A 26,646-nucleotide genomic window follows, 5' to 3' on the forward strand; every position below is an offset into this window, starting at 1 on the left:
AGTGACTGCTGCTTCCTGACCAATCACAGCTATAGCCTCTCTCTGGCCTTCTCTCATTTTTGACGAGATTTACGAGGATACTCAATCACAGAACTTCCCCTGCTTCCCTGACCACATCCAATTCAGAGCAAAGCCCTCTTTCCCCAAATCACCTACTACATGCCCAAATCCTCTGTCCTTTCTAACACCTCTTATTGAGACATCTCAGGGTTCCCCATGGTGTCCCTCACTTTAAGGAGAAATAAACCAACTTATTGAACTGACAGTGTGTTCCTGGAGGTCTTTGACTGGAGGGGATTGAACATCACATAGAGAATCAGTGCTGAGCCAAGATTCCACCCGAGGTCCACCTGACTCCAAAGCCTGTGCCCTTGACCACTCTACTCTGCTGGCTCCCTGTTCAGCTTTTTTTCTGTTCTAATGTGGGCCTCATATGACTCATTCTGTAACATAAGAAAGTGCCCTTGAAAAAGGTAAACCTCAGTTACGGTGGAAACAGAAATCATTGCTATGGAACATGTGTCATTTCCTTTCTATCTGGGGAGACGAAACATGGCTGTACTTGTCTACTTGTCTCATTGTTAGCAATTTCAGCATACTTTGAATTAGTTTTAGTTTTCTAGATAGCAAAGTGCAATTGGGTCTATTAAATTAGAACAGAGGTGGCATCTTTTATCTTCCTATCCCTACAGCCCAGTACCTGAGCTCATTTTTAATGAGAAGACAAATTAATATTTCATCATTTCTTTCTAAAATAAAAATCGGTATGTGAACGCAATGATGGTCATAAGACAGGCAGGAGCTCGAAAGGAGAAGGAGAGTGAGGCGCCAAAGGCTTTGGGGAAGTGGAGTGGGTAACAGAGGGCAGTCTGGGTAAGAATAGAGAAGATGCGGTGTGGTGGCAGGCACCTGCGGTCTCAGCTACGGGTGTATGGGAGGATCCCTTGAGCCCAGGAATTCAAGGCTGCAGTGAGCTAGGATAGTGCCACTGCACTCCAGCCTTGGTGACAGAGCGAGACCCTCTCTCAACAATAACAAAGAACCTAGCCAAGGGACCGTGGCTAGGGGGTTGGGCCCTTTCTCTCTCAGATCTACCTAATGGTCTGGGCTCAACTTCTCCTTTAGAAAAAGAGCTTGGTGGTGGTAGATTGTGAAGACAATTAATTTCACTCTTCAGCTGCTTCTCCAACCCCACAGCACTCCTTTCATTCCACTTGGACTTGCCCCACCTGCCTGCGTCTCGAGGACAGCGACCGCAAGCCATCCATCCCTTTCATTATCCCATTCACTATTCTGGACAGAGTAGACTCTGGAGGAGTGGGTGGTCGGTGTGTTCAGTCCACAACCAGCGCTTTTCTAAGAGGTGCCCTCTAGTCTTTCCCCTCGGGGTGCAGACGGCAAGCGGCTCTGGAAAGGGTCAGAGGTCCTCAAATGGAGACCAAAGGAAGCCACGCGGGCAGCTCTTGAGAGCCATTCCAGCGCATGCCAGGCACACCGAGTGGGGCTTGGCCTCCTCCCCAAGCTAGGAGCTCTCTAGATACCGGAGCAAAGTGGAGGGGGACTTTTTTCCGTCCAGAGAGACTGAACTCCGTATCTGTTCCGCGGTCCGCCTCCCTGCACACACGCCCCCGAGCCGGGAGAGCCTCCGCAGCACCCAGAGAAGAGACCGGAACACAAAGGATGAACGAATGGGGAGGGGGGGTTTGGGGGGTTGGGAGAACGAAAATACCAGCTGCGCTTCCAACATCCAAGGAAGGAAGTGGCAGCGGGGACGGGGAGAGGATGGGAAGGGGATGCTGACTGCGAGTTGGGGCGGGACGCGGTGATGGGAGGGGACCGGGCCGGGAATGCGGGAGGCGAGGGGAGCGACGGGACCTGCCGTTCCGGCGGCCGGGCAGCCAATCGATTCGTCTCCCCTAGGAAGGAGCGAGGGGAGGGTGGCCCAGAGAGAAAGCGCCGCGCGGCCTCGGCTGCCCCCGGCCCGGGACACCCAAACAGACCAAAGAGGATCCGGAGTGGAGCCCGGAGCGGATCCCGCAGCCCGCGCCCGCCGCGCACTTACCCGCGCGCCCGCTGCTGGGTCCCCGGCAGCCGCGCCCCCTGCGCTGGCGGAGTCGGAGGAGCCTGCGCTGGGCCGGCGGGGGGCGGGCGCTTGGGGAGGGCGGAGAGAGGGCCCGCCCGCCGGGACCTTTGCTCGGTCCGGGCGCCCCAGAGCCGCGGGACTGGCCGCCGGAGGCTGCGGGAGGGGCCCGGGCCAGACCTCCCAGAAGCCCCAGAGAGAGCCGCTTCCCCTCCTTCGTGTGACTCTCTGGGAGCCGGGTTGCTGACGGCCCAGCGCTCAGCCGGAGTCCCCGCGCGCTTTTCGGGACTCACCCGGGAGATGTCGGGGCCTCTCGGGAAGAGTGGGCTGCGCCTGCCTTCCGCGGCCGCCTCGCCTCTTCGCTGCGCGGGACCGTGGGGTTTGAGAGCGGCGCCTCCTCGCGGGGCCGAACCCGCCACCCACAGTGGAGTGTGGACTGACACCGCGGCCTCACGGTTCAACCAGGAAAGTCCAAGGCCTGTCCAGCCTGTGGGAGCCCCTAATGCCCGTGCCTGGAGTAGTATCTGGGTGTGTGGTGCGACAGTGCCCACACTTAGGCCTGCCGCTAATCAGTGATTCATTCCTGTAAACTCCACTCTAAGCTCCTTGAGGGCAAAACCAGGCGCTCTCACACACTGGGTGCTCAACGAATACTGAACGAGGGAATCTCAGCATAGCTGGTGCTCAAACATTGCTTTCTGATGAACTGACTTAAATATTAGCTCTTTTTGTAACATTAGGACCAGCTGAAACCGATTAACCATTACTTAAGTTGTTACAGCGAGGCAGAGCCAAAATCTCCCGGGCGTGTGCAAGAGGGAAAGCTTTCTAATTGTGAACACCGCGCGCCCCGCAGAAGGCTGCATTGGCATCACCTGGGACTGGTTAGAAATGCCAAAAACGCCTGACCCGCTCCCAGGTCCAGAAGACAGATTTAAGCTTTGCCTCTTGTCTCCTTGCCAGTTGACTGGCAATAGAAGTTTTTCTTTTCTCAAAAGCCTGTGCCACAGTTTGGTTTCTGTGTGCCTCAGGTTACGAGCCCATTGCTCAGTGACACTTTCAGTCAGTGTATCGTCTTCACTGTGCAATGCTCTCTACTAAGCTGAGAGCAAAGAGTAAGAGAAAATGAAATTTCTGCCCTGCGAGAGCTCACACAGTATGGAGTTGTGTGGCTGTCTTAAAGGCTGTTCGGGGAGGGCAGGTAGAGAAGCCCGGCAGCGCTTTCCCTTGGGCCCCGCTATGCTTTAAACATATCTCTAGATTGCAATTATCCACCTCACTGTAAAGCCTTTCCTGACTATCCAAATTAAAAGTGCTGCCCACCCACCCACGGGAACACCTCCTAGTTCCTCCTCTGCTTTATTTTTCTCTTTGCACTCACCACCATCTGATAGACTGTGTGCCTCTTATTTCATGTATTATCCTCTCCTGTAAAATGTCAGCAGCATGAGGGCAGCTGGTCTGTTTTGTTCCCTATGCCCAGCACCTAGTTTAGGATTTGACACATGGTAGCTATCCAGTAAATAATTGTTGAATTAAGAAATGAATCCTTTTGTTTGTTTCTCCACCTAGACTGTGGGGCAGTACACATCCTTGCAGTACCCAGCGCAAAATAAGTGCACAATTAGTGGTTATTGGATGAAGAAGTGGTTCGAAATGGTCCATGGTGGTAGGCCCCTGATTTGCTAATGTGATGAGATGTTGGACGAAAGAAAGAATCCCAGCCCTGTCAAGAGACTTTTCATGTATGCTATTGGTTCTCTATCATTATAAAATTATACGGTGATGATTCTGGCTTGTTGCCAGAGATTATTGCATCCCCCGCTAGGGTACTGACCTTAAGAATATCCTCATAAACAGCATACTCATCAGGTTCCCACCCCAAAAAGCCCCAGTCCTCTATCTAGATAGTTACCACTTGTAATTCAGAGTGGGTGAACTTTTTGATGCAACAGTTACTAAGTGGCTTCAAATTCTGTCACTTTTTTTTTTGTCCTGCCTAGTCTTTTAATTAAATGCCCGAGGAAGATAGTAATAATATCAGCTGCTATTATTTATGTAGCACTTTCTGTCTACTGTCACCAAGCATGCTTCTGAGTACATTACATGCAATGATTGGCTCATTTAATCCTTACAACTATTTGGGGGTTTCAAGTTACAAATGAGGGAATTGAGGCACAAACTGGAATGCTCATACAACTGGGAAGAGACAGAGCCAAGATTTTAACCCAGGTTGTTCAGCACCATCTGAGTTTTAACCCACCATAGGGTAGACTCTCCAGAACAGAAAATAAGAAGTGCAGAAGTGCAGTAGGGGTCCCCCCACCCAAGCAGTGTAGGAGCATGGTCTGTGTTGGGAGAGAGGGATGACTTGTGTTCAAGATCTCACCTGACCCCAGTCTGCTGCTCTCCCTGTCCAATGGTGGGGGGATGAAAAGGTTCTGGCACAGCCATAACTTTTTTAAAAAAATAATTGTGCTTATTATTATTGTTAAATAGACTATTTGAAGATTTCAGATGAACATATACAACATGGAAACTTTTAGCCCAATTGGAAAAAAGTAAATAAAAAGAAAACGTGGAACTCCAATCTTCTTATTCCATATAGATATATCCCCTTTGAGGAAATGGAGGGCTATGGAAAGAAAATCTCACAGGAGATCAATTGGAGTGGTCCTAATGATGATGGTAAGCAGCATCTGCTTTCAAAAAGATTCGTTATATAAACTATGTTTCAACTTACAGAACTTCTGAAACACATCTATTGGGTGTCGTGTATTTCCTACCCTATGCCTAGATTCTTGCTAAGGAAAAATACGCAAAGGGCAGCAAAAGTCAATAAAACTCATTACCGGGATTTATTTCGTAAATGAATACACCAATAAACCAGCTCTGCATGGCTGCCATAATTGCTTCCTAGTTCCTTGAGAACCACATTTGGAGACCTGGACGCTTTCAGATTAATAACCTCTGCAAAGGAGAGAAAAACAGACTTTGGATCCATCAGATTTGGGTAGAATCCAGCCTACCACTTACCAGCTGAGTGACTTTAGGCAAATTGTATAACTTCCCATTTAAAAATTACTTATAACATTGTCATGAGATTATATAAAGTACTCAGCCCATAGTAGCACTCAATAAAAATTAGTTTCCTTGCCTTTATTAATTACTTTTCAGCTAAAGTTGCCTTTAAATTAAGACTACATTTTTCACATATGCATAATTTTGCCTTTTACCATATTGATTGCTTCCCAGAGGAACATAGCTACTAACATAAATTAAAATAAAATTTGGCATACATTGATATATATTTTAAAACTGATTTCATTTACCTCCCTAAATCCCAAAAGTGCTTTTTAAACTGGAGACTGTATTGCCAATGCATATTACTAATTACTGCTTTAAAATAAAAAGCTTTATAGAGGGTTAAATATGGTCCAGAATTAAATCTGTTTCTCTTGGTGTCCCAACCTTCTCTTATTCAATTGCAAGGCACGGATACAGATAGGAGAAGAACTGAAATTACTTGGCAGCTAGCAAATGATCAACCAATATTGTCAAAATCAAAAGTCTCAATGCAAATATTATTGGACAAACAAGGAAATGTGAAATAATTTGCTGTCCCAATTATCAACTGCTGTATAACAAACTACCCCAAAACTTAGTGGCTTGAAACAACAACCACTTTACTATATCTCACAATTTTGTAGGTTAGGGCTTTGAGCAGGGCTCAGCTGAGTGACTCTTCTGTTCCATGTGCACTGACTGGGGTCACTCAGTGGAATTTAGCTGGTGAAGGTGAATGGCCTGGTTTGGAGGGTCCTGGATAACTTCACCCATGTCTTTGCCCATTCGGTTTGCTGTAATAAAATACCATAGACTGAGTGGCTTATAAACAACAGGACTTTATTTCTCACAGTTCTGGAGGCTGAGAGAGAAGTCCAAGATGAAGGCATCAGCAGATTCGATGTCTGGTGAGATCCTGCTTCCTAGTTCATAGATAGTGACTTCTCAATGTGTCCACACCTGGTGGAAGGGAAGAACAAACAAAACAAGTCCCTAAGTCTCTTATAAGGGCACTAATCCCATTGATGAGGGTTCCACCTCATGACCTAATCACATCCCAAAGGCCCCACCTCCTGAAACTATCACATTGGTGATTAAGTTTCAACATATGGCTTTGGGGGAACACAAACATTCAGACCATAGCATCTCATGTCTAGTGCACTGGCAGGGATGCCTTGAGGGTGGGACTGAACTTGAGGGTTATCAACCAGAGCCCTACATGTGGCCTCTTCATCATGGTGGTTTTTGGGAAGTCAGACTTCTTATAGTGGAGGCTCAGGGCTCCAAAAGCAAATGTTCAAGAAAAAGAAACAAGGCAGAAGCTAGAAGTCTTATGACATAATCTCTAAACACCCAGAACGTAATTTCCACAACAAGCCTAGATTCAAAGATAGGGGTGGTATATTCTACCTCTCAATGGGAGAAACAGCAAAGAATTTCCAGACATCTTCTATCTGCCGCCCTTGTTTTCATGAAAGAAAGTGGCATTACAGGATAGGCGCAGTGGCTTCTGTCTGTATTCCCAACACTTTGAGAGGCTGAGGTGGGTAGATCAGTTGAGCCCAGGAGTTAGAGAGCAGCCTGGCCAACATGGTGAAACCCCATCTGTACTAAAAATGCAAAAAATTAGCCAGTGTGATGGTGCATACCTGTAGTCCCAGCTACTCGGGAGGCTGATGCAGGAGAATCACCTGAGCCTGGGAAGTTGAGGGTGCAGTGAGCTGTGATCGTGCCACTGTACTCCAGCCTGGGTGACAGAAACTGTGTGTCAAAAAAAAAAAAAAAGCCATAAAAGAAAGTGGCATTACATAAACAAAGTTAGTAAAAACTTCTGTATTGTTTGTCCATTGTTCATGGAGAAACATACGTTATTATCAGCATTAAGGAAATTTGTGATGAATACCAGTAGTCAGCCACCAGATGTCCAATTTACAGAAATATTCAAAATAATATGATCCAGAGATATACAAACTTTTTTCATCTGATTATCGTTATTTTTAAATATTGTCCAGTATCCAGGTGAGCTATACCCAGCATAGAGAAGTAAAGCCCATGCACCTAACATCTTTTTAACAAATATTTATTAGTGACCTACTAGGTGCTGGGTGCCATATTAGGTACTGAGGATATAAGGTGACCAACGAGAATGTGCTTCATGCCCTCCAGGTCTGTGGGCTTTGTAGTATAGCGGGAAAGGCAGACAGATAAACAATAAGGATAGAGGATGAGAAGTACAATGATCAGCTGTCCTTGTTAGGGTAAGCTAACTGCTAAAATGAAGTCCCAAATTATAATGGCTCAAATACAATAGTAGCTTATTTCCTACTCGGTAAACAGTCTGACTAAGGTACTTCTAGGTTTTGGGTGGGGTGGGTGGGGAGGAAGAACCACAGTCCTCATTCCTTCAGGAATCAGGCTGGGGGAGGCTCAGCTCCAGGTTGTTGAGGTTGCCCTGAGCATGGACACCTCGGGCAGATAGATAAGGAAAGAACCCGGAGACTCCCTCATGGGAGATTTTTATGGGAGCGGCACTTTCGGGTACAGGATGCATTCCAACACTCCCAGTGGATGCCTGAAATGGAGGATGGCACCAAACCCAGCCAGGATCAACTGGAACACGTTTCTGCTCATGTCTTCCACCACAAATTCAATGCCTTTTTCATCTTAAGCAAGCACTTACATCACATAGCGGCCATAACATTTGCAGTTCGAGGTGAGATAGCAAAACTAGCACAAATTTCTTTTCTCTTCTTTAGTTTCACAGAGAGATTTGGTTCTTGAAATAGATCTTAGCAACTTCAGCATACAATTTTTTTCTTTCCATATTGAGAACTTTCACTTTCTCACTTTACAGCTTCTCTTTGGAATATCCCAATTGCCCGCATCATTACTATTGCACAGAGGGGCCATTACTAGATAAAATAAGGGTGATCCAACTCAAACACTGCAATGTCATGACAGCCAATCTGATAACCTAGATGGCCACAAAGTGACCAGCAGGCAGGCGTGTAGACAGCATGGATATGCTGGACAAGGGATGATTTGTGTCATTGGAGAGGACAGGGCAAGACAGCATGAGATTTCATCATGCTACTCAGAATAGCACAAATGTAAAATTTATGAATTGCTTATTTCTGGAAATTTCCATTTAATATTTTTGGATGGAGACTGATAGTGGGTAACTGAAACCACAAAAAGTGAAACTGCAGATAAAGGGAGCCTACTGTACCTTCCTTTGGCCAGAAATCAGTCACAGAGTCTCTCCTAATTGCAAGACAGGCTGGAAAATGTAGTCTTTGTGCTCCGGAAAAAAAGGAACTGGGTTTCGAGAGCAGTGGCCGACACAGCTTTGTACAAAATAATTTTAGAGGGCAAATAGGTGATGGCCAAGCCCAGAGCTTTTGTAAAGAATCCCAACTAGGGTAAACCAGACAGCTGAACTGATTTAAATGACATATTTTTGGATTGTATAATACATTCTGTTTTTTAAAACGAGCCGTTCTTAATCTTACACCTGATTCCAAGAGTTATCTAAGAATACAGGGAGAGACTGGTGATAGAGTGGGTGTGGTTGATGTTTTCATCTATAACAATTTATTACTGATACAACTTCTTAGCTGAGTTATAATTGGAAGGGGAGTATGAGAATTGTGTACACACTTGTTGTTTGGTAAGGTCCTTAAAAAGACTAATTGCAATGGAAAAAGCAATTTGGCAAGGAAAATTATCCTGGCACCTGACTCAATCTTGACTGATTGCTAAAAGCACCAGTGTAATAAATGTGTTTGGTCTGAATGATGGAAAAGAAAACAACCCTGCAAGTAGAGCTTCTGTCACCTTAGGCACCTGTGATATCATGAAAGCTTTCGTTTCAAACTGTTGGTAGAAATGGAATTTTTTTCTAATACTATATGTTGAAACCTTCAAGCTTCTTTTTTTCTCCCCCAAAGAACTGTACCTGTCATTTCATTCTGAGGCTCCATCTCTGTAAGGAGTCTAGACATCCAGTGGGAATGGGCACACAGGGACTTCAGAAATCAAGTCAGCTTGCTTTCTGCAAGTAAATCCATCTTCTTTTGCTAACTTTCTTATATTAAAAAACAATAAAAAATCAACACCACCCCAAACCAAGCAAATCCCAGTGTCAGTGTGGGCAGCCAACTAAGACATGGCTGTTTGATGATTTTGGAGTTGGTGCAAATGCTACGTTTGAGTTCCAACTCTGCCTCTTACTTGCTGTCACCACTATTCCAAACCTCCACTTCCTTATCTGGAAAGTGGGAATAATCACGCCTAGCTCACTGAGTTACTGTGATTAGATATACCAGCAGATACTTGATAAATGGTAGCTATGATTATTAGTTTCTGATTCCCTGGAATTCCATTCCATTTTACAAATACTGTTGAGTGCCTACTGTGTACCTGAATAAATCTGGATTCCTGCCTTTAAGAAGCTTACAACCACTAGAGGAGTGACGTGCTGAAAAAGCTTTAAAAGGTCCCAGCAATTCTGACTTGGCAGAGGGAGTTTTGGGGAAACATACCATAGAAAGACCAGCCTTTGATTAGGGCCTCACAGAGAAGGCTGAGCAAGCATGCTTCAAAGTTCCCCAAATCCATTTCTCACCTCTCCTTGCTCACCAAAAAGCCTGGCCCCGGGTAATGCTGGACCTCCTCTCTAGGAATGATTAGCCTTACATTCTAGAATTAGAAATAGACTTGAGGTATAAATAGCCCCTAGAGAAGTCACAGTGCAATAAACAATCCCATTAAGTTTTAAATGTCGATACGGATCCTTTCTTGTCGAAAATGGACAAAAAGTTTACAAAAAGAAAATTAATATGAAATTATTCCACAACTTCGCTATTTTTAGCTTAGTTAGAACAATGGGCACTGTTAAATTGTTTAGCCTAAAGCTCCCTCCTTAGTATTTCAAGTTCAGCCTAAAGGTTGCTCCGGGTATAGTGAACTGTAACCTCACTGGATGTGTTAGGTTACAGTTCAGCCAATCACAGGCCAACTGCTCAACCCAATGTTGAAATAAGGCAGCTGTGCAGCTGTGCCCAAACCAACTGTTTCTGTACGTCACTCCCCTTTTCTGTACGTCACTGCCCTTTTTCTGTCCTTCAATGTTATCCAGACATGTGGCAGCCCCAGAGTTGCTCTGAACCTATTCTGGTTCTGGGAGCTGCCTGAGGCAAGAATCATTCTTTGCTCAATTAAACTCTGTTAAAGTTCATTTATCTAAAGTTTTTCTTTTAATAGCACCAAGTTAGATATCTATAATACCCACATTTTTTGGATTGCTTATTTTTGTCCAGCATGATCCTTTATATACATCATTTCATTGGATCTTTGTACAACTCTATAAATTATTATTGTCCCTATTTTACAGATGGCAAAAACTGAATCCTAGAGAGGCAGCCTATAAATCTGGCACAATATATATGAGGATCTGAACTCAGATCTGAGTTCCATGCCCTAACTTTTGATTACTGCCTAATGGGTAAATCTGGGGAAGACATCAAACATTTAAACATAAACCTCAAAGTCCATATTTTTACCTTTAGGTAAATTAATATTCATTCACTGAAAACAGATTATTTCTTCTGTTCTTAAATGTTCTCTAGGTTAGTGACTCCTAAAACAACTCCTGTAGTTCAGTCTAGTGATTTCTATGGCCATGATATTAAATTACATTATTTGTGTGTGTGTGTGTGTGTGTGTGTGTGTGTGCATGTTTGCCTGTTTTCACAGTCAGCCTATACTCATTCATTTTGCTTTTAATAAAATCCAGACCCTGCACAACACTTTATTTATTTATTTATTTATTTATTCATTATACTTTAAGTTCTGGGGTACATGTGCAGATGTGCAGGTTTGTTACACAGGTATACATGTGTCATGGTGGTGTGCTGCACCCATCAACCCATCATCTACATTAGGCATTTCTCCTAATGCTCTCCCTCCCCTAGACTCACACCCACCGACAGGCCCCGGTGTGTGACGTTGCCCTCCCTGTGTCCATGTGTTCTCATTGTTCAACTCCCACTTATGAGTGAGAACATGTGGTGTTTGGTTTTCTGTTCTTGTGTTAGTTTGCTGAGAGTGATGGTTTCCAGCTTCATCCATGTCCCCACAAAGGACATGAACTCACCCTTTTTTATGGCTACATAGTATTCCATGGTGTATATGTGCCACATTTTCTTTATCCAGTCTATCATTGATGGGCATTTGGGTTGGTTCCAAGTCTTTGCTATTGTGAACAGTGCCACAGTAAACATACGTGTGCATGTGTCCTTATGGTAGAATGATTTATAATCCTTTGGGTATATACCCAGTAATGGGATTGCTGAATCAAATGGTATTTCTAGTTCTAGATCCTTGAGGAATTGCCACACTGTCTTCCACAACGGTTGACCTAATTTACACTCCCACCAACAGTGTAAAAGCGTTCCTATTTCTCCACATCCTCTCCAGCATCTGTTGTTTCCTGATTTTTTAATGATCGCCATTCAAATGGGCATGAGATGTTATTTTTAACATTTAAAAAATTATTATGGGCCAGGCACAGTGGCTCACACCTGTCATCCCAGCAACTTGGGAGGCCAAAGCGGGGTGATCACCTGAGGTCAGGGGTTCAAGACCAGCCTGACCAACGTTGTGAAACCCCGTCTCTACTAAAAATACAAAAATTAGCCAGGCGTGGTGGTGGGCACCTATAATCCCAGCTACTCAGGAGGCTGAGGCAGAAGTATCGCTTGAACCTGGGAGGCAGAGGTTGCAGTGAGCCAAGATTGCACCACTGCACTCCGGCCTGGGTGACAAAGTTAGACTCCATCTCAACAAAAAATATTATCATGAAATAATATTTGTCTCATATAAGGGTATATAAGAATAACATAATGAGCACATGTACCCACTACCCAGTTAAAAAATAAAACTATCAATAGAAGTTTCTGTATATGTATGCCCAGTCTCATTCTCCTCCCTCCCCCGCCATCACTGCAAAAGAAACCTCTATCTAGAATTTTTACATTATTTTTATGAATTCTAGAAGTCTGTTTTTCTAAAAAAGTGAGAAAAGTTGGGTAGCATGGCTTTGGCTGGATTTTCAAAGGAAAATGGAGTTGTAGAACCTTTTTTTTTTTGTTTCTACTAAAGTTTTTGTCATTTCTTACAAACTTGTTACAAACCAGTCATTGTAGGGCTAAGAAATCTGGGATAAAGTTAAATTAAAAATTTTGTATTTTCCAAAATTCTGCAGAAAACTTAAAGACATTTTCTTACATCACAGCTTAGAGGCCAATTTCCCCTTTTATATCTTGTCTAATAACTCTCCATTATTAGAAAGTGCAGAAAAAATGCTTTTGATGGCTTTCGGGCATGTTTGTGTAATACTTTATTAAGTGCCATCTGCCTTTGCTTTATTAATGTTTTATTAAGGGCCATCTGGTTGTTGCTACCGATCATATAGACTCTGAAATGAATCCGTTCTCACCCATTAATAAATTATCAAGTGTCATCATTAGCAAAGAAATTAAACTGAGCAGAACAAAGAGCAGAGGGGCAGGACACCCATGTCCCAAGGCTGCCCCCAGCTGGTTTTGTGGTCAGCACAGTCCCTCTACTTCTCTGATCCCTTGTGTTTCATCTGAAAATTAAAGGTTAAACTCGGTCTCTGAGGTTACTCAAACTTTAAAATTTGGAGTAAAAAACTCAACTGCAGTGCGTGGACCAAAAACTCTGGTGTGCAGGGGAGAGGATTCTGCTTAGGACAACGGAGAAACACCTGCTGGGCTGTGCCTGGAGGTAATAGAAGAATGGTAAGATTTAGCATAGGGGGAGAGGGAATAGCATTAAGGGGAGCCAGGTGAAATGCCATGTAAGGTGTAGCGGAGGGAAGGGAACTGAGATTGTAAAGATCAGCTGAGACCAGACGGGGGAACAGCCTTGCATGTCAACGGGGAGGAGTCATTTAGATCTTTTATCTACACCGTTTTCCCCCTTCTTGCCCTAAGCTCTCTTTAGTCCTTGGGACCCATTCAAATGGGCCTAGCCAAATGGATTGTTATCTCCAGTAAGTTAAGTGTTACCCTCAAAGTAGAGGTTCCCAAGTGGTACAGCACACAAGTGATAAGTGGAACTAGAGACTGAGGTTGTCAACCCTTGAAACGTCAGCCTCTGGCTGGTTGCTGAATGAACGCTTTTATTTTCTATGTGTGCCATGCTATGACAAAGATTGGGAGCACCACCTTAAAGCAATCTGGTTCACCAAATTAATTTGCTTATGAAATGGCTTTCATCAGCAGTTCCAGCAGAAACAGCATTTATATTACATTGTATTATATTGTGTTATTCTATCATACTGTGTTAGTTAAGTGAATGAGTGAAGATAAAGAGAGAAAATTCACTCAACACATTCATTGAGCCCCTGGTATGTGCTTGGCACTGTCCTAGGCACTGGAGATACAGCCAGGAATAACAGACACAAACAGACCTAAGTGACTGCTGTCATAGAGCTCATGCTCTAATGGGCAAAAAATATACTTCTTGTTCCTGGTACAACCTGAAAGGGACCTGGAAGTCGTTGCTCTATCCTAACAAGTTAAAAAGCTGAACAAACTCAAAGTCAACAACTCTTCTTAGAATTGTCAGAGAAATGAGATCACAAGAAAAACCATTGTCTTGGAGAGACAGACATAGATTCAGAGACTCACAACTTACCAGAGCAGAAACCACAGGAACCATTGCTTGCATGGGAAACCCTGAACTGTAACTGATGAACTGCTGGAAGCTCAGGGTGGACAAGTCTGAGAGTTAGAAACTCTCTACACTTCTGTGAGTTTTACCTCTAGGAGCTCTAACCAGGTTCTCACAGGGAATATCAGAAAAACTCCCCTCATTCTTGCAGCGGGAGGCGGGGAACGTAGCCATTTTGAAACATGCCAGAGCATTCTGTTCTTAACGAGGCCTGTCTTCAAGAGAAACTGTTTCACCAAAGCCTAAACGATTGGGGTTTTATCAGAGCCTAACTCAACTCCAGTCCCCTCTAGCCATTCTGCCCCACATAATGGGGGGAGGGAACTAAGTTTCACAGCCCAGGACATAGGCTCACTAAAGACTGATTAATAGGACTATAGAACGCCTCCCCCAGCCCTATACCTCTCCACCACATCACTAAAAGCTTATTTTCCACAGTTCCTCTTTCTCAGTACATCATGTTCAGCTTTCAACAAAAAATTGCGAGGCATGCTGAAAAGTAAAAAACTAAACAAAACAAAAACACACGCATGCAATCTGAAAAGACAAAGCAAGCATCAGCACCAGACACAGATATGGCAGGGATGTTGAAATTATCAGCCCAGGAATTAAAAATTCACTATAATTAATATGGGAAAAGTAGACAACATGCAAGAACAGATGGATAATTTTGGCATAATAAAATAGATTTGGTCTATGTCCCTGGTTCCTGGCACAGAGCTCCTAAAACCCTTGGAACTCCTGCACGGTAAGTTTGTTTTTGGTGTTTAATGACATGGCTCTTGGCTGAGGGTCCATAGATGACTTCAGAATGGGACTTGTCCCAGAAAGACCAAACCATGTGATTAGAGGGTTGGAACTTTCAGCCCTACACCCAAGCCCCAGGGAGGGAAAAGGGGCTGGAGATTGAATTCAATCACCAATGGCTGACGATTTAATCAACCATGCCTACATCATGGAACCTCCATAAACACTCCTAAATGATGAGGTTCACAGAGCTTCCACATTGGTGAACACATTGAGGTACTGGGTGTGCCTGGAGAGGACAGGAAGCTTTGTCTTCCTCCCTCCACCCATATCTTGCCCTATGCATCTCTTTTGTTTGACTGTTGCTGAGTTGTATCCTTTATGATAAACTGTTAATAGTAAGTATAGCCTTTCCTGAGTTCTGTGAGTCATTCCAGAGAATTATTGAACCTGAGGAGAAAGTCGTGAGAATCGCCACATTTGCAGCCCGGTTACACAGAAGTGTGGGTTACTTGGAAACCTGATACTTGCAACTTGTAAGACTCAGCTCTTCACCTGTGGGGTCTATGCTAACTCTGGGAGTTGATTTCAGAATGGGATTGAATTGTTGAACGCCCAGCTGGTGTCAGAGAATTGCAGAATCAGAGAACTGGTTGGTGCCAGAAATCACCCCAGAAAGAACCTAAGAGTAATATAAGCAGAGAGATGAGAATTCTATGAAAGAACCAAAAAATGCTAGAGATCAAAAATACTGTAACAGAAATAAAGAATGCCTTTGATGGGCTCATTCGTAGACTGGACACCACTGAGAAAAGAAGAAATCCTCTGAGCTTGAGTATACATCAATAGAAACTTCAAAACCAAAAAGCAAAAAGAAAAAAGGCTGAAAAAAAAAAAAGAACTGAATATTCCCAAACTGGGACAACTGCAAAAGGTGTAACATTAGCGTAATGGAAATATAAGAAGAGAGAGAGAGAGAACCAGAAGCAATATTTAGAGCAACAATGACAGAATTTCCCCAAATTAACATCAGACAGCAAACCACAGACCCAGGAATATCAGAGAACACCAAGCAGGATAAATGACAAAAAAACTAAAGCTAGGCGTATCGTATTGAAACTTCAGAAAGCCAAAGATAAAGAAAACATCTTGAAAAAAACAAATATAAGGCATGTCAGGTAACTGTAAATGCTAAAAGGAACAAAATAAAGGAAAGGCCAAAGAGTTACATGGGGCAACTTTTGGAATTTTTGATATAGTGGTCAAGGAAAGCCTCCCCGGAAAGGAGACCTTTCAGTCAGATTATTATGAGCTCTTCAATTTGTGGTGGACACATTAATGTTTTTGTTTATTTAGAGTCAGCAGAAACAGCATTTATATTACATTGTATTACATTGTTTTATTCTATCATATTGTGTTATGTTAGTTAAGTGAATGAGTGAAGATAAAGAGAGAAAATTCACTCAACACATTCATTGAGCCCCTAATATGTGCTTGGCACCGTCTGAAATAGGTCCTTTGGTGCAGTAGAAGGAATGTAACCAGGCTTGCATCCTGGTTCTGCCACTTACTGGCTGTGTGACCTTGAGCAAGTTGCCTGAGTTTTTGGGCCTCTATTCTACTTCTACAGATTGTACCGCTAGTTGGTATTTATAGGTTACAGAAGGGTACCCCAGAGAGCTTGGAAAAGAGTGTCAAGACTGTCCTGGGAGGGCTTACTTGGATGCTCCACACTCACTTGATGTGAAAAGGTCCCAGATGCCTGCAAAACTGCTCCCGTACCTGCCTGGCTGCAGGAACCTTTCTAAAGAAAGGAAAGGCCAAGAGGAAGGGAGGCAAGGGACACCTAAGAAGAATCTCTAAGTCTTGTCCTAGTCAATCCTGTTCCAGCTCCACTGGAGAGCCTGAGAGCATCCCTGACGTGAATGGAGGTCGTGGCCTGGCTATTATCATCCCATTTGAAAAACTTCACCTGATGCAGTCCCCTTGTCTTCAGTTCATGCGCAACAGCCCCTTGTTCATGAGGGCTGCCGGCAGAAATAGAATGAGCTGGTGACACGAGCTTTGGGTATCCCACGCCTGGGATGGGAATTCTCCCATTGCTCCTAAATACAGAATCCCAAGTCCTTGCATCCTCTGGCCCCTGCCCACCTCTCCCTTCACTCTGTGAGGAAGGTGCCTTGCTGGCCCATCCTCAGTTCCTCAGAAGTGCTGAGTGCCTTCCATAGGGGCTGAATCCACAGGGGCCATTTCTGTTCCCAACTCTTCATGTGGCTGCATCTTGCTTAGCTTCACATCTCAGCTTAATCTTCTCTTTCTCTACCCAGCATTCTTTGACCCACAGGTTTAAGGTCTCATTTATTTATTCTCATAGCTTTCCTCATAGTAATTTTCTTAATTGTAATTAATGAACTGATTGTGTGTTTGTTTACTGTCTGTTTTATGTAGGTTCCATAAAGGGTAGAGTCATGCCTGTCTTTGCTCACTGCTGTGTCCTCAGTGTCTCACACAATGTCTAGCACAGAGTCGGCACTCCACAGATATCTGTTGAATGCATAAATAAAGAATGAACAGTCAACTGTGGCTGTGGGTTAGAGTTAACTTTCGGTTCAGTCATTGGCATAGTACCTGGCATGCATTTGGTGCCTAATAAATGATAGCTGTTGATTTCATGGGCATATTTCTTGTCAGATTCTAGTAGTTTCCATGACTAACTTGGTTTTATATCTTTGCAAAGACAGCTGGGATTATAGGGATGGATTTCCATGTAGTTCAGTAATATTTCAGAAATCTAGTTGTAGAACTTAGAAAGGTATTTCTTTCTGACTGGTTGCCCGGTTGCCTCTTCCTCTGTGCGCTAATATATCTTTTATTTATAAAAGAGGCTGTTCAATGAGACTTGATCTTAATAGATAAAGAATCTAATTGCTATGGACTTGGCAATTACAGCCAATGAGACACCCAATAGCATTCAAGGACCTATGGGGTTGGGGTGAGGTAGATGTAGTAGTTGCTGATTATAGACAATGGGAATTGCATTGTTACAGAATACCATGCTCTTAACCCAAGGTGGGCTATGCAAGCCAAAACTCAAAAACAGGTAAACTTGTTCTTCTCACCTCCATCCCTGAAAAGTCTGTCTTGTTCTCCTGGAAACTCGTCAGTGACAATAAAAAAAATGTTTTTCCATCTTCTTTTCTTTATAAACTCAATTCCATTAGGCACTTTAAGCCCTTGTATGTAATCCAATTCAGTGTTTGCTCTTACATGGCTGTTTAAATCATTTGGGCCTTAATTCTGTTCTATGATTTAGACATCTCAAGTTATATATATCATCATTTGAAACACATTGAGAAACATTACTTCATAGCTTAGGATAAAGCACTATTATTATTTTTACATTTTAGTGCAAATCATAAATCCAAATATTTGTAGCCTTCCTTTTAGTATGGTTTATGACTAATTCATTTTAATTATATTCCTATTTGATGGCAATTCATATTCTTCCATCTACCAATTTGATATCAGTTCTTATTTTTGTATGTTTTATGGAGACTCTCAGCTTCAGATATATTATGCAGATCTAACGAATTTTTAAGGCTAATTAAGAGTCACAGTCATGTTGTAACTTGTCAGTATAGCTCCCTCTCTCCCCCACCTTTCTAAGAGCCTGTGTCTTCTAAAATAGTGATGGCATGGCCTCTTAGGTTTTGTCAAGTAAGGGAGCTTAAATATATCTATGAACACATCCCCTGAAAGAATTCTCTCTAGAATCTGGTGCTTTCCTTCTGCCTTAGTGTTAACTCCATTTGTCTGCTATGGAAAGTTCTTGACCCCTCCTTCCTGAGGTTACCAGAAAGCTCAAATGCTGCAACCACATCTTTCCTAGTTCCCAGCATAACCACATCCTTGCTTTTTCACAATTTCCAATTTCTTTTAAATTTTCCTGTGTTTACATAGAGGTGTGTCTCTTAGATGCACAAATGTCTTTTGAAGGTATGTGAAATCTAGAATATAAAAACATTTACCCTGCTTCCTTTAGGAGGAGAAAATGTTGTCTTTCTGAGAGACTCCTGTATCAGTACAGTCTGAGCGATGAGGGACTCCCAGGCCCTGCTCATCCTCCAACTCCTTTCTAACTCCATCATGGCTGCTCCAAAGAAGTCATCTCTTTCCACGTCATTTCCTGTTGGCATCACTCATTTGCTCCTTAACATGAACAGTATCATATTCACTTTATTGGTCTGTCTTCCCTCTCCCTCCCTCCCTCCCTTCTTCCCTCCCTCCCTCCCTTCCTCCCTCCCTCCCTCCCTTCCTCCCTCCCTTCCTTCTTCCCTCCCTCCCTCCCTTCCTCCCTCCCTTCCTTCCTTCCTGTCCATCTTTCACCTTAAGCCCTCGAAGAAGGCCCAGGACCTCCCAAAATACTTCATGCTTTTCCCACAACTTCAATTTTGTGCCACGTCTGGCTTTAAGATCCTGGGTCTGCAAACTTACTCATGCTTACCAACTCCTTCCTTTTTTAAAAAAAATTTTTTTAAATTAATTATATATTTATTTATTTAAGATGGAGTCTCGCTCTGTCACCCAGGCTTGAGTGTGGTGGTACGATCTCTGCTCACTGCAACCTCTGCCTCCCAGGTTCAAGCAATTCTCCTGCCTCAGCTTCCTGAGTAGCTGGGATTACAGGCGCATGCCACCACACCTGGCTAATTTTTGTATTTTTAGTAGAGACGGGGTTTCACCATGTTGGTCAGGCTGGTCTTGAACTCCTGACCTCATGATTCGCCCAACTCGGCCTCCCAAAGGGCTGGGATTACAGGTGTGAGCCACTGCACCCGGCCATAACACTTTCCTTTCTTTAGAGCTGATGCAGATGTGAAACCCAGCCCCTGTCTTTCATTTACACAAATACTACCCACACAAGGCATGTGTGTATGGGGGATGTTTCTGAATGCTGGGGGAAATGGAGTTTGCAAGGAAGCAAAACAAGCAACTAAATAATGCATAATAGGTGGCCCTGGGATTTTGCCATCTCTGTGGTTTCTTTGTCTTCTGGTGATCCATACCTTTGGGGTGTCATATTTCACCCGCAGTGTTTCATCAAATTAAATTTCCCAACAAAAACAGTTCCTTTCCCAAGAGGAATTCCAATACCAAGTCTGTTGGTACATTTTTCTCATGCTGTTACAAAATATTATATGGACACATTAACTTCTGAACTCTATCGTAAGTCTAGGAAAGCAAAGACCTTCTTTCAGATTTCTTAGTAACTCAGGAAACAGGAAGGTGATGGATGTTGATCATTTGCTATGTCCAGTACACTGCTAGTTAATTTTTTGATATATGTTATTTTACTAATTTCTGTACTATAAAATCAGTGTGATGATATCCGTTTAATTAGGAAGCTAAAGCTCAGATATGTTAACTAATTTGCCTAAAAATCATATCGCTTGGAATGCAAAATCAACACAAACGTGTGAAGTGACAGGATTTGATGATCCTTCAAGCTTGCAAGGAGCTGCTGGGGACGCCTTGAGGTTGCTGTCCTCCTTCCCTACCTGCCTGCCCCAAGCAGCCTCTCAGAATCTCTGCTAAGGGCCAGCGCGGTGGCTCACGCCTGTAATCCCAGCACTATAGGAGGTGGGAGGCTGAAGCTGGGCGGATTGCTCGAGGTCAGGAGTTTGAGACCAGCCTGGCCAACATGGTGAAACCCCGTCTATACTCAAAATACAAAAATTAGCTGGGCGTGGTGGCGGGCACTTGTAATCCCAGCTAGTTGGGAGGCTGAGGTGGGAGAATCACTTGAACCCAGGAGGTGGAAGTTGCAGTGAGCCAAGATCATGCCACTGCACTCCAGCCTGGGTGACAGAGTGAGATTCCATCTCAAAAAAAAAAAAAAAAAAAAAAAGGCCAGGCACAGTGGCTCACGCCTGTAATCCCAACACTTTCGGAGGCTGAGGTGGGCTGATTGCCTGAGGTCAGGAGTTTGAGACTAGCCTGACCAACATGGTGAAACCTCGTCTCCACTAAAAATACAAAAATTAGCCGGGCGTGGTAGCGGGAGCCTGTAATCCCAGCTACTCGGAAGGCTGAGGCAGGAGAATGGCTTGAACCTGAGAGGCAGAGGTTGCAGTGACCTGAGACCGGGCCATTGCACTCTAGCCTAGGCAACAAGAGTGAAACTCCATCTCAAAAAAAAAAAAAAAAAAAAAGAATCACTGCTAAGAAGGAGTTGTGATATGGAAGAGCTCCTGGGGTCCAGGCCACAGTGGACGTGGTGGCGGTACTTCTAAGAAAAGAGAAGTCTTCAAAATGAGAAGATGCAGGGACCTGAGTCAGATTGTGTCTGTCACCAGGAGCCAGTTCTGGGTTTAATTGTCACTTGTTTTAACTTTTTATTTTGGAAAAACATCAAACCTATACCAAAAAGATAGATCAGTGTAATAAACTCCCGTGTCCACCATCCTCCTCGATAATTATCAACATATAAGCAATCTTGTTTCATCTGTACCCAGCTCCCCACTCCCAACTATTTTATTTTGAAGCAAATCCTAGGTTTCATCTTATAACCAGGTTTTTGATATGTGATCAAGAGTTTGTTTTTATGTCATTTAAAAATTCGATTAAAATTAAATCCTTAATGGATCGCCTTAATTAAAACTTCCTGCAGCAGGTATAAGTTCTATTAAGCAAATGAGCCTGGTAATATGAAAATCAAAAGGGCACTCTGTCAGCCTCATTCTCTTTTTCTTAGGTCACTATTCCCACTTCCTGCTCTAAAGGTGATTTACTTTCTGAAGAAATTGGATGCAAATTATGTTCTTTCATTTCTTAAAAGACTGGAAATTCATTTATATGTGTGTATACCTATAGTCATAGAGATGGTGCCAAAAAGTAAAAAATCGTGCACCAAACTATTAACAGTGTTTTCTTGGGGTGGTGTGAACTCAGGAAATTTTCAGTTTATTCTTCCTTTTAGCTTATAATTATTAAAAATGTTTCTAGTTCTATAAATAATATAATTGTTATATTCACTGTATTATATTTTAATAATTGTTTATATTTTCTCTATTTCTAAAAGTAACGAATTACTTTTATGATTAAGAAAATGAACAAAAATGCCATTAAAAATATATGAATTCGAAAGAAGCTTGTATAGAAAATAACACCTTGGCTTCCTTACACGGGTTGAACTCTTCAGTAAAAATCTAAAATGGGAGAAGTATTTTAATCAAGCAACATAATTTGGACACCCTGAAATTGTCCACATAGGCGATCCTCTAGTTTGCCTATGGATCAATCATAATCTGGCCCCGTATATTATCCGAACCAGAGACCACACCCATGGGCTGACCAAGGCTTTTAGGGATGCTTTGGAATGCAAGAAGAGGTGTAGGAAATGAAGTTTTGGAATCGAACCACTGGAAGTTTGCGGTTTTATAGATGGCTCTTAGGGGAAGAAAGGATATTTGAAAGTAGAGCTCCTCTAGAAAAATGCAGACATACAGAAAGTCACTGGCACATTTTGGAGCCAACCTTGCAGGTGATGTCACTGAACAGGAAGCCCACACCTAAGACTGAGCCTGAATTCCTCTGCCTCCAAGAAGCACCCCTCACCTAACCCCAGATCATTAGCTTAGCTCAAGTGTTCTTCCAGGCTCTGATGTGAGTGGTGTCTCATGGTGTGACAAAAGGAGATTAAATCCTAATGTCCTGTAGTTGCAATTTATTTTGCTTTTTGAAAAAGTTTATGAAAGCCAGGCACAGTGGCACGCACCTGTAGTCCTAGTCCCAGCTACTCAGGAGTTAGAGGCAGGAGGATCGCTTGAGCCCAGGAGTTTGAGGCCAGCCTGGGCAACATAGAGAGATCCCATCTCCAAAACAAAAGCAAAAACAAAGTTTATGAAACCATAATTCTTTTTCCAATTTTTCTGCTAAGAACATGTATTATGTGATTTAAAAAAGAAAAACAAATATATTGTGCCCTTGAATCCACTCCAGCTTCCCATCTGTTTCCCATAAAGGCTCCCTCTAAAAGGCCGGGAATGAAAAAAAAAAGATGGAGGGACAAAGAAAGAGAGAAAATGGTGGGGGAGGGAGAGAGAGAGAGAGAAAGACTGTGTATGTGCATGTGTGTCTGTAGTGGCGTTAGAATGGATTATCAATAGGTTTCAAAATGTCCCTTCTTACTCAGAAAGGGAAGGAGAGATCCAAGCAGAAGGACCAGGTTAGAGCTAGCAATCAGGTCTCAGCCTTCCCAGGGGCCTTTGTAACAAAAGGCTGGAACCCAGACATGGATAGACCAGACACTGGGGCCTAGAAGCCTGGCCAGGGAGCTTCAGACCTCAGCATCAGACCTGAGGCTGAGCAACAACAAAAAAGTAGTCATCAAAGATCTTTAGACCAAATGTATTTGTATTAAGAGACAGGCTAGTGTGAAGTAAACAAAGAAATCACAAATGGAAGACTTTTTATTTTGTTTTGTTGCACCCTTGTCCCAGTTTGTCCAAGGCTGAGGAGGTCCCTGGTTCACAGGACTTCCCAATACTAGAATTGGGAAAGTCCGGGACAAATTGGTTGCCCCAGGTGTTGGGTTCCAGGGCCCATCGACCTTGTTGGCTGGCCGACATGCAGGTTCCATCTTGGGGCATGAGACAGCTGCTCCAGCTTCCATCCTTATGCCCATGGGCAGCCAGCAGGAAAGGGGGGCAAGCACGGAGGGGTGGCCTCTTTCATTTTAAAGGGCCAACACAGAAGCTGCACGTACCACTGTGGCTCATGACTTTCTAGTCAGAATCCAGTTACGTGGCCACTCCTAGCAGGAATCTGGGAAATGCTGTCATTAGCTGGATAACCATGCACCCAGTCAAAGCTTCTCTGTTGGTTTGGATTAAGGAGAAAATAAATTTGGAGGGCATCTTGCAAGCTGCCATAGTACTGAACAGATAAACCTCAAACACCTGCCATACCCCACAACTCCCTCCTAAGTGGTCTTCCTGGATAATTGTCATGCTGGTCCCATGTGACCTCCACCTAAGCCTCAGCTGAGTGGACTGGAGCTCATCCCATGACCCAAGTGCAGCCAACTTCCAGCAGCCGATGAGACAGCCTGATGCAACAGCCTTAACATACGAGGCTATGACTCTTTCCTAAAATAACTGAAAGGCAGATACGGGAAGTTGGTTAGTCAGATGCAGAAGCTGAAAGATATCTAGAAAGAAATTAGGCAGCAGAAGCTATGAGTAGAAGCCATGAGGTAGAGCAAAGACATTCAGGTAAGAAAGTGGTTAGTAACTGCAGAATGGCAAAGGCAGAGGCAGCCAGGCCCTGTGGAGAGGATTAACTTATTCTTGAGAAGGAAAAGTTAATCTTATTGATAGAAGTGGGTGGGTTCCTGAATAATCCTCCAGTTTCATAAATGTATTAGAGTCTCTGGAGGCCCAGGAGTATGGCTGTTCCTACATTCCTACACCTTTATCTCAGTTCCCAGGGTGGGGAAGTGATACATGGTGTGTGTGTGTGTGTGTGTGTGTGTGTGTGTCTGTGTGTTGTGCCATCAATGGGCTTTCATCAGGGGAAAAAAAAAGAAAACAGAAAACCCCACTAAAAATGGCCTAACCAGAAAAGACATACATCTGTCATTTCACGTATCAAGACGTGCAGAGGAAGAGCAGTTCTGGGGCGAGTGGATTCGGAGGCTCAGAGAGATTGCCAGCAGCCTGGGCTCTTTCCACCATCTCTCGCTGCCATCCTCAGTGCCCTGGCACCATCCTCAGGCTCGCCCCTTCTTGGCCTCAGGATGACTGCAGAAACAGTCCACACCAACAGCATCCCTAGGCTGGAAAGGAGATGCTTCTCTCTTCAGCCCCTTTCTCAGATTGTGGAAAACATTTCCAAAGCTGCCAGCACATTTCGCCCTCATCTCATTGGCCAGAACTTTATCCCACGCCCATTCTGAAGGCAGCTAATGGCAGGAGCAGGAATGCTGTCTAGGCTCAGCCTGATCAGGGTCTTGGGGCTGGGAAGGGGCTCCGCCCTGCTTCAAGCACAAGGCTGCCCACATACAAAGAGAATTAAAGTTCTGCTAATAAGTAAGTAAGAAGGAGGATGAATAAATGGCTGAGGCCATCTCCAGCATCCCTGGCAGGACGTCCGAGAAGTTGGCTGGCCCTTCTGGCAGGTCCCATGCAAAGTTCCCGCCTTGTGAAATCACAGCCAGGACCTAGAGTTACATATTAGAAACTTAATTTTGCCACCTGATATATTGATTAAGTTATGGGGTATTGATACACCCTAGCCAAAGGTCAGCGTATAAACCAGGATATCAGTTTATTGATTTGTAATATAGGCTGTGCAAATCTCTCTCCAATGGCGAGAAAACTCATGTTTATCATCTGGTACACAGCAGATGAAAAACCAAATTAATATTCAGGAAGTTTCTTAGTTGAGCATAACCAAGAAACATAACATCCAAGCAAAGGATTTGAGCTGTTTTCTGCCCTTCTCTGTTGGTGCCACACATTTTCACACTCCTACCGCTTTGTACACACCCTTCTTGCCTGGATAGCTTCGTGGCCTTGCTCTGCCTGAAAAATGCCCATTCAGAGCAACTTGAATGTCATGTCTTCTGTGAAATCTTCCCTGAAATGGAACTAACTCCTCCCTTTGTTAAGTTTCTATGCGTTGTAAATATTCACAGGTGGTTACGCCCTCTCTCAATGCAGTATAATTCTCCCAGAGAGCATGAACTCCGCAAGCGGCAGAGCAGGGTCTTAGTGACCTTTGTCTACCCAGTAGATGGCATGCTGCCTCTTCTGGAGCCTAGTAGGATCTAGAAGATTGGTTCTGAGTTTGGTGTGTATAAGAATCACCCAATTCCCTCAAAGAATTTGGTTTAAAAAATCATATTTCCAGCCCCTACCCTCAGAAGGCCTAACTCACCCAGGACTCTGCATTTTAACATGTACCCAGGTGACCTTGACGCAGGGACTCAGGCCCCATTTTGGGAAACACTGGCGTGGCCCATCATGTTTCTTCAGCTCTTGCACACATTGGTCTAGTGATGGGGAAATTGTTATGTACCATGAAAAGCGCATCTTTCTCAGATGTACTGAATGGGTAGTGACAAAATCTTCCTCTCTGGTCCCTTTCCAAGGAGATCAACATGACCTCCTGCCCAAGTCAGTGTGACCACAGACAGGCAGGAGAGGTGTACAGCCTAACTCCAGACAGGCGTCTAGAAGGTGTGGGTGCTGGAGCTGAGTCTTAAGGGGAAGCAGATGTGGGAGGAGACACTTCTCAAAGAGGAACAGCATGCACAAAGGCATGGAGATCTGGGCTGAGAGTTGTTCAATCTAACACAGAAGAGAAGTAAGTGCACGTGGGGAAGCCGTGAGACATGCAGCTTACAGTACTCATGGCCGGTGAATTTATATTCACAACACAGCACCTCATAAAAGAGTAAAAACCACCTCATTCTCCACTAGGCACTATGATAAGCAATTTACATATATTATGTACAGCTGAGGACTATACAGTTCATATAGTATGTATTGGTTAGGTCTGTGTTTCTCAAACTATTTGATCTTAAGGCACCTTTATGCTTTCGAAAACTATTAAGAACCCCAAAGAGCGTTTGTTTATGTGGATTAAATCTATTGATATTTATCATATTAGAAATTCAAACAGAAATTTTAAAATATTAATTCATGTAAAATATCAATAATAACCTATTATATGTTAATGAAAACACTCTTTTGGGGGGTGGGGGTGGGGACAAGGTTTCACTCTGTTGTCCAGGCTGAAGTTCAGTGGCTTGATCATAGCTCACTATGGTCTTGAATTCCTGGGCTCAAGCAATCCAACCACCTCAGCCTACCAAGTAGTTGGAACTACAGGTGTGTGCCACCAAACCTAGCTAATTATTTTTTGTTTTCTGTAGAAAGGATGTCTTGCTATGTTGCCCAGGCTGGTCTGAAACTCCTGGCCTC

The 26,646-nt window shown here is 43.6% G+C and overlaps 2 protein-coding genes across 6 annotated transcripts in view, besides 7 other annotated features; both read right to left on the reverse strand.

Annotated features, from left to right (window-relative positions):
* GSDME (gasdermin E) overlaps positions 1-26,646 on the reverse strand; it is a 97,185-nt gene that overhangs the window by 56,979 nt on the left and 13,560 nt on the right. For 2 of the 5 annotated variants that reach the window (NM_001127454.2, NM_004403.3), the window contains exon 1: positions 2,374-2,606. The gene's annotated coding sequence lies outside the window, so the exon portion shown is untranslated. Of the gene's footprint in view, positions 1-2,062; positions 2,132-2,373; positions 2,607-5,997; positions 6,107-6,795; positions 6,908-26,646 lie in introns of those variants that run through there. The other 3 variants (NM_001438059.1, NM_001127453.2, XM_024446670.2) reach the window with 2 other exon arrangements.
* On the reverse strand, positions 991-18,852 carry LOC124901820 (translation initiation factor IF-2-like). Its single transcript, XM_047421177.1, has 3 exons — positions 18,685-18,852; positions 2,329-2,604; positions 991-2,236 (listed from the first exon to the last, which is right to left on the reverse strand). The coding sequence occupies exons 1-3, from the start codon at positions 18,850-18,852 to the stop codon at positions 1,523-1,525; spliced, it is 1,158 nt and encodes a 385-aa protein (XP_047277133.1). The 3' UTR covers positions 991-1,522.
* Positions 1,681-1,730: a silencer, noted in NCBI's record as "silent region_18018". NCBI's record gives its function as "represses an Ori minimal core promoter by ATAC-STARR-seq in GM12878 lymphoblastoid cells {active_cell/tissue: GM12878}" and the evidence as "EXISTENCE:reporter gene assay evidence [ECO:0000049][PMID:35858748]".
* Positions 1,741-2,320: a silencer, noted in NCBI's record as "silent region_18019". NCBI's record gives its function as "represses an Ori minimal core promoter by ATAC-STARR-seq in GM12878 lymphoblastoid cells {active_cell/tissue: GM12878}" and the evidence as "EXISTENCE:reporter gene assay evidence [ECO:0000049][PMID:35858748]".
* Positions 2,401-2,630: an enhancer, noted in NCBI's record as "active region_25754". NCBI's record gives its function as "activates an Ori minimal core promoter by ATAC-STARR-seq in GM12878 lymphoblastoid cells {active_cell/tissue: GM12878}" and the evidence as "EXISTENCE:reporter gene assay evidence [ECO:0000049][PMID:35858748]".
* Positions 3,131-3,280: a silencer, noted in NCBI's record as "silent region_18020". NCBI's record gives its function as "represses an Ori minimal core promoter by ATAC-STARR-seq in GM12878 lymphoblastoid cells {active_cell/tissue: GM12878}" and the evidence as "EXISTENCE:reporter gene assay evidence [ECO:0000049][PMID:35858748]".
* Positions 7,997-8,291: an enhancer, noted in NCBI's record as "tiled region #12520; K562 Activating DNase matched - State 5:Enh, and HepG2 Activating non-DNase unmatched - State 23:Low". NCBI's record gives its function as "activates a minimal TATA promoter and a strong SV40 promoter by Sharpr-MPRA in K562 cells, with weaker activity in HepG2 cells {active_cell/tissue: K562 | HepG2}" and the evidence as "EXISTENCE:reporter gene assay evidence [ECO:0000049][PMID:27701403]".
* Positions 13,902-14,031: an enhancer, noted in NCBI's record as "active region_25755". NCBI's record gives its function as "activates an Ori minimal core promoter by ATAC-STARR-seq in GM12878 lymphoblastoid cells {active_cell/tissue: GM12878}" and the evidence as "EXISTENCE:reporter gene assay evidence [ECO:0000049][PMID:35858748]".
* Positions 14,052-14,241: an enhancer, noted in NCBI's record as "active region_25756". NCBI's record gives its function as "activates an Ori minimal core promoter by ATAC-STARR-seq in GM12878 lymphoblastoid cells {active_cell/tissue: GM12878}" and the evidence as "EXISTENCE:reporter gene assay evidence [ECO:0000049][PMID:35858748]".

Source organism: Homo sapiens, chromosome 7 (assembly GCF_000001405.40).
Source record: "Homo sapiens chromosome 7, GRCh38.p14 Primary Assembly".
In the NCBI taxonomy this organism is placed as follows: Eukaryota; Metazoa; Chordata; class Mammalia; order Primates; family Hominidae; genus Homo; species Homo sapiens.